Consider the following 14,392-nt stretch of genomic DNA (forward strand, 5'->3'; position numbering starts at 1 on the left):
ACAGACAGTAAAACGTATCCTTAAAATTTCATAAAAGCAACAAAGTTAATATTATTGAAATAATTTCTGAAGTTGATAGAAGGGATATGTTGAGACAATTTATGATGTGGTGCATGGAAACCTCTCCTGTATTGCAATTCTGAAGAATGGCCTGGCAGACCATGAGCTATTTATACAGTGCACATGTGTGTATATAAAACACACTTACAGACTTTGTGCATGATTTGTCTTCCACCTCTCCAAAGTCCTCTTCAGAACCAGGGATCTCTGCATTTGCTTATTTCCTGTGACATTTGCTATTTCACTGCATCTGGCCCTGTTTCTTCTCTCACAGTTTATAATAACCATCCCACCCGTTAAAGATATATGGACAGCCACCCCCTCCAATTGTTAATATTGCTCTTAAAATGGATGGCAAGGTCTCTGCTGAGTATGTTAAGGAGTCATAAAATCAAGTCTAAACTTTCAATTTGTCACTCTTGGAGTGTGGGAACCTGACCTCTGATATAAAGTCTATCTCTTATCCTTCCATCTCAAAGTTTTCTTTCTTCAGTTTTTTTTAATAAACATACAGTTATTGAGTGACTTGTGGCAGATGTGGTGTTAGACTGCTTTGCATACATTGTCTTACTTAAAACACAAGAGTAGACTCTGTTGGTATTGTCTATCCAATATCACATGCTCTCTTATTTCTTACTAACAAAACTTGAATTTTGCAGAAGAAATGATATATACAGAATTTTGCAGAAAAAGATATATACTTGCTTTTCCTACCCTCTTTTGCTGGTAGGCATAACTGTGTCAGACATGACTGTGCCACCAGCTGGCCAGTGAGTAGAAGGATACTGCTGTAGAGAGGTGGTTCTGAAGCGGCATTTGCTTTCTTGATAAAGGGAACAGAGATAGCTGGCATTACTGCATCTTCTTTCTGCCTAAAACCCAGACGTGATGGCTGGAGCTGTTGCAACCATCTTGCAGTGGTGAAGATGTCAGCCATAATATCACTGAGCTGTTGAACCTATGTAAGCAGCTGTCTGAACTAACTGTCAAGATTGACATCCTTGAACTTCTGAACCTGTGTCAGCAGCTGCCAAGTTCCAAACTTCATATTATGAATAAATAAAACTAGCAACTCCTTGTTTAAGTCTCTATAGTCAGATTTTGTTATTTGCAGTTATCCTAATTGATACAACTCACAATGACACTGAAGTTGGTTTTAATTCTGCTCAGTCTATCTTTTTTCTTCTTTTCCTCTCCTTTACTGTATTCTCAGTCCATTTGTTTCTCCTCTCAGCTCTGTTTATCCTGATCCCTTTCCATCCAGTGTTTCTACTTGATTTAATTTTCTTTTTGAGTTTTTCTTCCTTGCTCTGTTTCTTCCTGGAGTCTATAGAGGCCTGTCCTGTCCATCTATTGTATGATGAAATCTGACTTGGTCCAGGGAAATCAGTGATGTGGCTTTGATGTCCTTGTGGCCAGCCTTTCTTAGGTTACCCTAACCATGACACATACATACTCCTAGCTGGTTAAGGTAAGATAAGAACAGAGTTTTCCTTAGGTCTTCGAAAAGTATCCTGTAAAGAGCAATGATTTCCATGCTCTATGTGTACCCTCACAATACTGCTGCTGGTTGCCTACCTAATAGTCATTCCCTCGTCCTTCCTTCCTAGCCGAACCCTCATATTTTTCTCTGATAATTGAGGCAGTTTGTGCTGATAGAATGAAGGCCCCGCCTCCAGCCACAAGAAATGATCTATAACTATTCAAAGAATAATGCTAATCCCATTTCCCTTGACTGAAATAGTCCATTTCCATCTATTCATTCATGCAGTCAACCTTTTCTATTAGCACCTTCAACATAGGAATCCTAGTTATTTTTAAGTCCCTTTGTGATAATCCCAGCATCTCTAAGCTGTCTGTGTTGATTGCTTTATCTCTTAACGATGGGACTTTTCCCCCCCTTGCTTGTTTATGTCTCATAATTTCTACTGAATGCCAAGCATTGTGTTTGAAGAATGGTAGGGGCTGAAGTGAATGGTATTCATGCCCAGAAATGGCCATGCCTCTTCTTCTGTCAAGCTGTTAGTGTGGGGGAGTTGAGATAGGTCTGGGTTTTGTTACTGCTATCATTACTTGTAGTGTACCACAGACTTCGGATTCCTCTGGTGGGATGCTGTCTTTAGTTCTTGCTCAGTGGGAGGCCTTGGGTACTAGAGTAAGTTTTTCTGCTTTTGCTCCACTCTCAGATTTCAACTGTTCTTGCATGGTGGTTCCATGGAGGGATTTGCTTTCCCTGTTCTTGATCCTCTTCTTGCAGTAGACTACTGTCACTTTTCACCTGGTGCTAGGTTCTTGATTGGGTGGGGATGGGACCTTCTCAATTTTTCTAGTCCAGCCTCAGTCTTAGGTAGAAACAGTGCACCTTGGCTTCTTCCTCTCCCTTTACTGCCCATGGCCCCAAACTCTGTCTCCTATTGGTGTGTACCCTTAGGTAGGAGAGATTTTTCCTATACCCTCCCCAGAAGCAGCAGAACTCTGCCTTGTTTTGGTACAAGATCCTGGGGCCAAGAGGTTTTCTTGCTCCTTCTCTAGGGGCAGATTGTTTTTGTTTCTATTCCTCCCCTAGAAGCAGTAGATCTTTGCCTGGTTGCCAGGGCCAGGAAGGAGGCATTTATATACCCCTTACCCAGAGGCAGATGGGTTTTCCTTATACCCCTCCCCAGGAGCTCTTCGGAGAAGTTTTTGCTGCATTTTCCCCAGTGGTATAAGACTTTAGCTTTGCATGACAGAAAGGTTAGGGGAAATATATAGTGCTTGCTACCTCTTCTCCAATGGCACTTGATCCCTTCCTACAAACCTGGGCCACTGAGAGGTACTGTCTCTGGTCTCCTACCCTGCCTTCAGTCTCCATGAGCCCCTGTTAGAGGCCCATGAAGAGCTTGAGAGAGAGAGAGCTTCCCTTGTGTCTACAGCTCCTCATATACAAGCCCACACTAAGTCTTTAGGAATTTGTTAACATTTTGGCTTTCTTCTTACTCACTTCTATGGCAGCCACCTTTTCTCCCTATGCATTGCCAAAAAAATGAAACAGTCTGTGTATCTCATTTCTCCTAGGAGAGTCTTGTCGATTTTTGGCATTCAATTTCTTTGGTTGTCTTGAGACCTCAGCTCTCTGAGGGGCTTAAGAAAAGTTATGATTTTATAGATTATCCAGATTTTTCTCACTGTTAGTAGGAGAGCAATGTACTCTTGCGGTTTTCTATACTCTAGGTAGAGCCAGAACTTTGAGAAACCTTAGCTGTTTTAAATATAAAATTTGTCCAAAATCTGCCCACTTCTCACCATTTTTACCACCCGCATCCTGATCTCACCCAGCATCATCTCTCACTTGCTTTATTACAAAATCTTTCCAACCAGAGTCCCTGCTTTTCTTCATGCTTTGAATGCAGTCTTTTCTCAACACAGTGGCCAGAGTGATGCTTTTAAAACATAAATCAGATCATGACATGTTTTTTTTTTCTCCAAAACCTTCCAAGGATACCCCACCTAAAATAAAAACCGAAGTCCTTTAAGGAGGATAGAGGGTGTAAGGCACAGCCCTCTCCCTCACTCCCTGTGTCCCAGTCACGTGGCTGCTTGCTGTGCCTTGCACACATCAGGCACATTCTAGCCTTAAGTGTTTGCAATGGCAGTTCCCCTCCCTGGAACTCCCTCTCCCCAGGTACCTGCACCATTGCTCTCCTCTCACCCCCTTCACATCTATTCTGAAAAGACTCCCCTGGCAATGCTATTTAAATTGCTGCCCACCCACTCCCCACACCTCCAGTCTTGCTTATTCTGATCTACTTGTTCTTTTTCTGCATCACATTTATCATCTTCTAACATATTATGTAATTTACTTATTTTAGTCATTTTTGCTTATTTTCTATCTCCCTCTGCTAAACTGTCAACTCCAAAAGTAGAGGAATTATTATCTGTTTTGTTTTATGATGCATTTTAAGTATCTAGAACCACACCTGGAACATAGCAGGTGCTCTCCTAAATATTTGTGGAATCAATGAATAAATGTTCATGGTGGTATTATTTGTGGACTGGGTTGCTGAAGGCAATCTGTCTCCATAATTGGGACAGTGGTGGGTAAGTGTTGAGGTTGTATATCATGAAATATATAACATAATACAATATGTAAAAGTTAAAATGCATATGCACAAAAATTATTCATTTTGCAAACACACATACATGCAAAAATATATATTAAACATGTTAGGATGGATGGTGGTAGGGAAGGACAATGTGAGTGTGGAAGGGAGATAGGAGGAAACACATAAGGAAGAAAGAAAAGTGGAAGGAAGGGAAAGAATGGAATAGACTTCCCAAAGACAAATTAAAATAATGCATCGTGAAACGAGGAATGGGAATTAATTCAATACAAGGCATGTGAGGTTAAAAAAATGCATTTCAGAACTTTTATTAACTCAAATTACTCTTCCCCTCTGTGAATCAGAACAGAAGTTTACTGTGATTTAACTTCTCAGGTGGGGAATTTGTGGTTCAGGTTGAGTGATGTAGGAGCTAAGACTCAGAAGACCTAAGACTGCACCTCATGAAGGGGCACTGTGATGCCCCTTGTCTGCAAGTGATTTATAGCATTGCTACTATGGCTGAGTCAGCCAGCTCTACAATTTATTTCTTGAAGCTCTTTAACTTGTCCCAAGATTGATAGGTTTTCCGTCTCTAACCTAAGCTGTTTCTTTCCCTCCCTCTTATATCGTCTACCAATAAAATGTTTTCAAGCCAAGGGCAAAATTATCATGTAACTTTCTTTTTGCTGTTTGAAATCAATTATGGGCTTTTTGGGAGTTTATGAAGTTACCTACATACATAAAGCAATAAACAAGCTGAATCAAACAAATCCCAAGTAAAGAGGCTGGTCATTAAGAGACACTGAATGGAAGGGGCTCAGTCCCATGTGGTTCATATATTCTGAAGCTTTCCTGGAATAGAGCTTCACATTTCTCTGAACAGGAGACATGCAAGTATTTATTATGAAACTCTCTTATTCTGATCTGCATGGGACATTTTGTTCCTAATAACATGAAGCTGGTCCTTATCTCAACCAATTCTTTACATGCTTGTGTTTTACTTTATTTTATTTATACCCCAAACACTAAAAGAAATTATTTTACTGCCTTTCATAAAGAGATACATCAGGGAAGTGGGGTGTGAGAAGGAAGCTCTGCTGTTTAGGAAATGAGAGCCCGGCCGGGGACTGGGTCCCTCTAGCCTCAGTGTGAGCTCATTCAAAGCACGTCTGAGAGTTAAGAGATGGGGCTGTGCCCTTAAACAGAAACGATCACAAAGATCCATGATGAGTTCTTCCAGCAGATGGGGAAACTGAGGTTAGGATTGAATGGAAGGATTTTGAGGGTGAAGCTAGCAAAAGGAAATGTACTTACTCAGAAAGGGAATGGGTTGTGAGTCTCCTGCATTTCTTCTCCCTCCCTAGGTGCTGACAAAGCAAGTCTTCCCAAGGTTTCCAGGATAAATGGCCCAGAAACATATGGAATATATTTTCCCAGAAACTCAAATGTCTTTCAAGCTGAAGTGGAAAACTGCTCTGAAAATACACACCAGAGGTTACCTTTGGGCCCCAATTCATCCAAACACATTTTAAAATATTTTGCTGATTTTTAAAAACTAAGCAAATTTATAGACTTGAATATGTCCTTCGCACAAAGAATAAATAACAGTCACTGGTAGGTTTTTAACCCTTTATGTGAATTTCCCTTATTGTAGCAGGCCGGGCCAAGGCCCCAGGTACCCATGGTCTGGGGAGAGTTTCTAGGAATTGTGGGTTATTGCTGGCAGCTGCTTCTATCTGCTCTCGTGACCTTTCTTCCCTCCCTCTTCTCCAGCAAGGGTGCCATCAGCACAGCTTGCCACAGAGGGAGTGTGCCTCAAGAGAGGAGGTGACGGGAGAAGTCATTCATTCATGCAAAACCATACGTTCATTCATTCATTCCTTCATCCAGCAAATATTTCTCAAACACTTAATATGTGCCAGGCACTTAAGGTGCTGGTCATTTCGTCTTCTGTTGAGCTGGGCTGCATTCGATTGCTAGGACTACTGTAACAAGCTGGTGGCTTACATAACAGAAGTGTATTGTCTCACAGTTCTTGAGGCTACAAGCCCAAGATCAAGGTGTTGGCAGGGTCACTTCCTTCTGAGGGATGTCAAAGAGAGAATCTGTTCCATGACTCTCCTCTAGCCTCTGGTGCTTTGCTGGCAATTTTTGGCATTCGTTGGCTTACAGAAACATTACTTTGATCTCTGCCTTCATCTTCACATGATGTTCTTCCTGTGTGTGTGTGTTTGTTTCCAAATTTTCTTTTTTTATAAAGACATCAGTCACATTGTAATTAAGGTCTACCTTAATGGTTTCATTGTAACCTGATTAACCCTATAAAGGTTCTTTCTCTAACTGAGGTCACATTCTGGGGTATTGGGGGTAGGATTTCAACATATGAATTCAGGAGGCACATAATCCATGATATGGACTAAGCAATATCAGACTGGCTGATCTTGTCCTGTGTATCCAACCCTTTGAGCTATAAGAGAATAGCCTCTCTGCACAACCATCTTCTCTGGAACTTGGGAGCCAAGAGTCCCCAGAAATGCCCCCAAGAAGTAGAAGTTATATCTAGGAGGCATACTTGGACCTCGGGATCTCTTTAGTGGCTTCGCCAAAAGACCACGGTAAAAAACCTACTCCCAATTTGATTAAGAAGATTAGCAAGTTGCCTGGAGTCCCCATTCCTCTTCTAAGACAGGAGAGAGAAGCAGGTACCCTAAGCAGCAGTGTGGCTTCAAATGCCCTGGGCTACTAGCTTTTTTTTTGGCATTAAGTAAAATGTGATTTGCATATAATTCTTTTCTCTAACCAACAAATCATTATAATTTGCTCTGGGAGAGCCAAGGTGAGTTTAACAAAATTAATATGTTGTCTACTGGAAAGAAAAATATTCTAAAATGTGATTTTCAGGTCTCTTTAGGCAGTGTTAAACATTTGTATCATACTCAGATTCAGGGGATCAGAAAATTTTAGAGCTGAAGGTGTCTTTAGAAATCAACTCATCGAGTTTTTACACTGAACTCAGAAAGCAGTTAGCCTGGAGAGAAGGCTTATTCAAGGTAACAGTCAAGGCAGAACTTGCTATGTGCCCAAGATGCTGAGCACTCTCTGAAGATCTTCCTGTTTTCAGGAATGGCTGCTAAGTGGTGAGATGAGATGTGAATGCAGGGACTGCAGCTCTGGAGCCTGACTCTTAACCACTATGCAGTAGTCATTAGGGAAGCACTGGGTTTTTGCAGCCAGACCTCCTGACCCCGCTCCAGTGTTTTTCCACAATCCCACCCAGCTTTCTATCTTGCCTTACTCCAGCCCACTGTGCATACAACTGCTAGGACAATCTCTGTAAAGTACAACCCTCATCATAATATTTTCTGCTTACAAACCTGCAATCACTTTCTCTTGCTGACTGAGGTTAGTACAAATTCCTCACTTTGTATTGAATGTCTGTGACAAAAATTTCTAGTCTTGTTTCTTAGAGTTTCCTTGCACTCCTAAACTCTTAAACCAAACTTGGCTGCAAACACTTCTCTAAAAGGAGCCTGTTTCTTCTGCCTTTTCCCAAGCTGTTTCCTAGACCTGGAGAGCCCTCCTTCCCTTTCCTTTAGAATAGTCTAAAAGTCCCTTTATTTTTCTTTTTTCTTGTTCTTCTAATAGATATAATTTAATGTGCCAGAGGCTGCTGATTGCCTGTCAATATCTATTTTCCCTTTCACCTTTTAGAAATAGAATCTTTGAGTTTTGCTAGTCATATAGCTCCTTGGAATGAAGGCGTTTCCCAGCTTCCATCATAACTCAGTGTCCAAGGAGCTGTGACCAGAAGCAAGGTGTACAACAACTGCGTCACACCTAAGAGAAGGAAGTACGTCTTCCCTCTCCTTCTCCCTCTTTCCACTAGATGAAATACAGACCAAGGTGGTGTGTTGGGGAGCTATACAGTCTTTAGCCATGCAGATAAAGGCAACAACATGAGACAGCAGAGCCGAGAGTTAGATGGAACCTGGGCCCCAACAAAATGGACCTGTCATATAAGCCCTGGACTCCCTGTGCTCAGACCATTAAGTATGAGGAAAAAATATTTCTATCTTGTTTAATTCTCTGGTTTTGGTATTTCTTGGCTGTCTTTGTTACAGTAGCCAATCTGTATCCTTAGAAATACATTCTTATGATGAGTTCATGTCCTTTGCAGGAGCATGGATGAAGCTAGAAGCCATCATTCTCAGCAAACTAACACAGGAACAGAAAACCAAACACCGCATGTTCTCACTCATAAGTGGGAGTTGAACAATGAGAACACTTGGACACAGGGAGGGGAACATCACACACCAGGGCCTGTCAGGGGTTGGGGGGCAAGGGAGGGAGAACATTAGTACAAGTACCTAATGCATGCGGGGCTGAAGACCTAGATCATGAGTTGATAGGTGCAGCAAACCACCATGGCACATGTATACCTATGTAGCAAACATGCACATTCTGCACATGTATCCCAGAACTTGAAGAACTTAAAGTAAAAAAAGAAAAGAAAAGAAATATAGTCTCACTTCTTTGATCATCTACACCCCTCTGAGTTTTTCCTAAAGGATTTCTTAAATTTACCATGTAGCAGAGTAAACATGGAATTTGAAGCTAGATAGCCCTGGCTTTGAATCCCAGCTCCACCACTTCTCAGCTGGGTGGCTCCAGCCTACTTGCTTAGTCTCTCTGAGCTTCAGTTTCTTTACCTGCAAGCACTGAAGACAACAGTCCATGGAGTAACTTTCCACTATTCTGAGCTGCCTCTCTAGGGTGATTTTCATCTGGCTGTGTGGACCTCATGAGTCACTCTTCTCCACTATAGGAAAATACCAACCACAGAAACCAAAATGTTCACATCTGCTACTCAGGCACCCTCTCCCACGAAGCAAGCTGGAAATGCTGACACATTCTGCAGCTCTCCCTTGGCTGTAATCTGGGCAGACCATCACCCCTCTGTTTGTAGATGCAAGGCTATGATTCACCCTTCCTCAATCCAATTCCTTACATAAAGAGATTATTATAATTCCAAATTCCCAGCTTATTCTTCATACACTCATAGATGCTTAGAGTTACAAGGCACTTGAGGGTCTTGTGGTCCAATCTTCCCTCTGAAATCAGTGCGGCCCTGGTGAGGACTTCCTCCACAGCCTGTCTCACCAACAGGCATCTTGCCTCTGCTGAATGTGCCTACTTGTCACATGGCAGCCTGTTCTATTTTTTGACAGCAAAATCATTATAAGTTTCTTCCTGATACCTTTATTTAGTCCCATTTCTGGAAGGCTCATTACTTAAAAATGTTAACCCAGGATGGAATAATTCAGAGACTGTGCTCTACAGAGCTAATCTAATTTCTTGTATACATCTTTATTGATGTCAATTTTGGGAGACTTATCTTCATCATCTTCTTCATCTTCTACTATCTCACACATGGCTAGTGGTTTTCAAATGTTTCTAATCAAGCATCTCTATCAGTAAATACTTTTTGAGCATGTCTCTCCAAACATATCCATACTTATTTATATAATAATATATGTATTACTGTGTTAGCATTTTAGAAAATGAATGAGACACATATAAAAATAGATATTAAAGATGATAAGAAAAATGTAAATGTGAGTTCAAATAGTTCCTGCTCGCATTTCAAGGGATCATCTTGCACATCCCCTGGGCTGCAGATCTCTCTCTTTGGAAATGACTGAGCTATTCATGATGCCCCTCCTCACCAGCATACAAGCCCTATATGAGGACAGAGATTCTGTCTTATGTTCTCTGTTGTGCCCGGTGCTTAGAACAATGTCTGGCTTAGAACAGTATCTGGTGCACAGGACACATTCTGTAACTTTTTTTTAATCAATCAGTGATTCCCAGATCTTTATTTATAGCACAGATTCTTCATTTCCAACTGTCTACAAGACAGCTTCACCTGGATCTCCTCAGGTATTTCAAACCCAACACACACCCAGCTGAACTCTTCATCTCTAGTGTCTTCCCCCACCAAAGTGTCATCATTTGATTCTCACTGCCTACTTCACACCTGTCCCCCATGTCGCTAAACTGGTTGACATTAAACACACAACTGACTGATCTCACTTTAAATTAAAGACCATACATCTCAGGTGGACAGCCTCCATTGCTCCTCAATTCAAATACATCTTCTATCCCACTTCCTCTCCTGATCTCGTGGCTAATTCGCCATATCTCCTTCCCACTTCTCAAAACTTCAGCACCCTTCTACTTCCTTACTATCAGCTGAATATTTTTCTGAGAAAATAAGAACAACTGAAGAGGACTTCTGTTGGTAGGACCAAATCCACCACACTTCAAGCACCTGAGTCCCTATGTTCTCCTTTTCCTCCTCTTCCAGTGAGTGAGATTGTACCTATTCCTAAGACTAACCTCTCTCTACTTGTGCACTGTCTCTCCTGCTCACTCAAAGCTTTGATGCCTACGATTCATTCCTCTTTGTCCTGCATCATTAATTTCCCCCTTTCTACTGAATATTTTCCATCTGCACATAAACATGCTCTAAAAAAAAATGAAGTAAAATCCTTTTGACTCCTCTCAGCCCCCACCCAGGTCTCATTTGCTTCTCGTACACTTTTAATGCCAAGATTTTTGAAAGTAGTGCCAAGATTTTTAAAAGTCGTTTGTAGTCGTTATCTTCACTTGCCTACCTCCCATTCTTTCTTCTGTTTGTCATTACCACTTTGCCAACATGGCTATTGTCTAGGTTACCAATGATCTCCATTTTACCATGTCCAGTGGTCAATTTTCTGGACATATTTTACTGGATCTTTCAGCAGCATTTTGCACATAAGATCACTTCTTCCTACTTGAAACAATTTCTTGGCATTTGAGACACCATGCTCTTGAATTTTTCCCACCAGCAGCTCCGTCTCAGTCTCCTTCACTGGCTGCTCCTCCTCCATTTAACTACTGTATCTTGAGTGGCCAAGGATCCGTCCGGGTCTACGTTCACTTTCCTATCCATATACAGCAACCTGGGTAATATCATCCAAGCTTGTGATGTCAAGTATGTTCAAAGTTATATTTCATCCCAAACCCTACCCATGAACTTCAGACTTGGGTATCCAGCCACCTCTCCTCTTGGGTGTTCAGAAGACTTTCCACATGTAATATGTCTGAAACAAAACCTTTGATTTCCTCCTCCACCTCCTTAAGTCCTATTCCTCTCAAACACTTCTCAAGCTCAGTAAATGGAACCAACACCCACCTGTTCTCAGGTGAAGAACCCAAGAGTAATTCTCAATTCCTGTTTTTCCCCACATCCAATCCATCAGCAAATCCTAATTTTTCTATCCTTAAAAAGATGAAAAGACAACTGCCTTCTCAGGACTTTCACTGTGACAACCCAAGTCTCAGCCACCATCTTCTTTTGCCTCTGTGTCTCTGAAATTTGTTCTATTCCCCAGAACCAGAGTGATTTAAAAGGACAACAAAAACATAAGTCAAATTATGTCTCTTTCCTGCTCAAACCCATTCAATGGCTTCCCATCACTTAGATTAAAATCCACACTCACGGCCAGGTGTGGTGCCTCACGCCTCTAATCCCAGCACTTCGGGAGGCTGAGGCAGGCGGATCACTTGAGGTCAGAAGTTAGAGATCATCCTGGCCAACATGGTAAAATCCCATCTCTACTAAAAATACAAAAATTAGCCGGACGTGGTGGTGGGCACCTGTAATCCCAGTTACTTGGGAAGCTGAGGCAGAAGAATTGCTTGAACCTGGGAGGTGGAGGTTGAAGTGAACTGAGATCTTACCACTGCACTCCAGCCTGGGTGACAGAGTGAAACTCCGTCTCAATAAATAAATAAATATAAAAAATAAAATCCACACTTACTATTATGGTGGTCAAGGCTATAAGAATCCAGCCCCTGCCTACTTTTCTCCTTTTCGTTGTTTGTTGAACAAGACTCTCTTGTTTTAGTAGAGGTTCTATATGCTCACTATCCCCTTTGCCTGGATATCTTCTCCCCAGGACTTCTCATGGCTTTCTCCATTAGTCTCTGCTCTAACATCACCTCCTCAGAAAAGTCTGTCTCCTGCATAAAATAAACATTGTGCCCCATCCTTATATCATGCTTTACTCTTCTTCAGAAAGCTTCTCACAAGCTGAAATTACATTATCTCTTGATATATTTACTGACAGTCCTCCAGTTGAACGTAAGGTCCTGAAATTAGGGCTTTTAAAATTTTGTTCAAAGCTGTATTCCCAGTGCCTCGATTAGTATCTAGTACATAATAGGCTCTCAATACACATTTCTTGGGTGAATTTATATGTTTACCTCAATTACCCAAGAAGAAACATAGGCAGTCATTCTAGTTTTTTTCTGCTCAAGACATTTTCTTCTCCCACAACATGGGTCAGCAAGTCCTTTGGCCTACTCTCCCAACATCTCTTAAATCCATCCTCTCTTGTCCTCCAATTCCCATCCTTCCCACAATTTTTTTCTCTATACCATTTCCAGAGAGGTCTTAAAACATAAGTCCAATTGGATCTCTCTTCTGCTTAAGAGGCTTCAGTAGCTCTCCATCACCTGAAGAAGGAAGCCCAAACTCCATACTATGATGTGATCTGGAGTCTGTCTGTATTTCCAACCTGGTTTCATGTCACTCCTTTTTCCACATATGTCCTATGTACCCAGACAATTTGCATCCATTGAACCCAGGCTACTTGAAGTTCCCACATGAAAACATTCTTTTGCTTACACTGTTCCCTCTACTTGAGTGCTTTTCTCTCTTTTTAAAGCCTGACCAAGTACTACTTATTCTTTAAGCACAAAATCACCTCTTCCCAATTTCTGAAAGCAAAGAGGATTCACCCTCTGTGTTCTCAAAAAACCATACCTGGTTAGTATTTTTATGGTTGTTGTTGTTTTACCTGAATGTCTTATTCAGTCACTTATTTATTCAAAAAATAAGTATATTCTTATTGAGCAACTACTATATGCTAGGCACTATCCTAGGCACTAGGGATACAGTTGGATACAAAACAGGTAAAACATTTGCTTTCAAGAAGCAAAGGGATGGTCTGGCATGGTGGCTTATGTCTGTAGTCCCAGCACTTTGGGCAGCTGAGGTGGGCAGATCATCTGAGGATAGGAGTTCGAGACCAGCCTGGCCAACATGGTGAAATTCTGTCTCTACTAAAGATACAAAAATTAGCTGGGCATGGTGGCATGCGCTTGTAATCCCAGCTACTTGGGAGGCTGAGGCAGAGAATCGCTTGAACCTGGGAGGTGGAGGTTACAGTGAGCAGAGATTGCGCCACTGTACTGCAGCCTGGGAGACAGAGCGAGACTCTATCTCAAAAAAAAAAAAAAAAAAAAAAGAAGCAAAAGAAGCAAAGAAGCAAAGCGGAGTCAGACAGTGAAAAATAATTAAAATACACAATGATTAGATGATGCTAAGTGCAATGAAATACAATAATTCAGAGACGGAGCACATGGAGGCTCCCACATGGGTGGAAGCTGTCATACTGACTAGGGCACTGGGGAAGGCTTCACTGGAATGACATTTGAGTTAAATCCCGAGCAGGTGAGGAGCATCTGGGGATGAGTATTCTCGGCCAAAAATATAGCAAATGAAGAACCATTGATGTGGGAGTGGGCTTGGCCTGATTTAGCAAAAGCACAAAGGCCACTGTGCTTGGAGCAGAGAGAACAAGGGAAAGAGAAGCATAAGATGGGGTCAGAGAGTAGCAATGGAAACCTTGAGTTTGTGGCATGAGTGAGGTGGGGCGTGTTGGAGGATACTGAGCAGAAAGGGGTGTGGGCTCACGCATGTTTAAACAGCATCCTGTGTCCTGAAGAGAAGGGTGAATGCAGGGAGACCAGGGAGGAGGCTCCTGCCATAGGCCAGGCAAAGTACTATAGCGGCTCGGGCCAGGATGGTTGTCCTTATTAGACTTGAGTGACTTGAAATCTGGGACTAGATCCCATTTATGTTTTAACCTCCAGCATCCAGCACAGTGCACCACACACAACACAATAGGTGCTCAAAGGCACTGAATAAACAAATAAGGCACGTTGTCTCAGCAAGCAGCTACAGCTTCTGAAGTCAGCACTGTTTGTTTTTCTAGGGCCATGTCTTAGTCTGCTTTGTGTTGCTATAAAAGAATGTCTGAGACTGGGTAATTTATAAAGAGAAGAAGTTTACCTAGCCCTTGGTTCTGCAGGCTGAGAAGTGCTAGGCCATGGCCCTGGCTTTCCACAAGGGGTGTCAT

General features: G+C 41.9%; 2 annotated features.

The window, feature by feature from the left end:
* Positions 8,812-8,861: an enhancer, noted in NCBI's record as "active region_21565". NCBI's record gives its function as "activates an Ori minimal core promoter by ATAC-STARR-seq in GM12878 lymphoblastoid cells {active_cell/tissue: GM12878}" and the evidence as "EXISTENCE:reporter gene assay evidence [ECO:0000049][PMID:35858748]".
* Positions 8,892-9,101: an enhancer, noted in NCBI's record as "active region_21566". NCBI's record gives its function as "activates an Ori minimal core promoter by ATAC-STARR-seq in GM12878 lymphoblastoid cells {active_cell/tissue: GM12878}" and the evidence as "EXISTENCE:reporter gene assay evidence [ECO:0000049][PMID:35858748]".

Source organism: Homo sapiens, chromosome 4, assembly GCF_000001405.40.
Source record: "Homo sapiens chromosome 4, GRCh38.p14 Primary Assembly".
In the NCBI taxonomy this organism is placed as follows: Eukaryota; Metazoa; Chordata; class Mammalia; order Primates; family Hominidae; genus Homo; species Homo sapiens.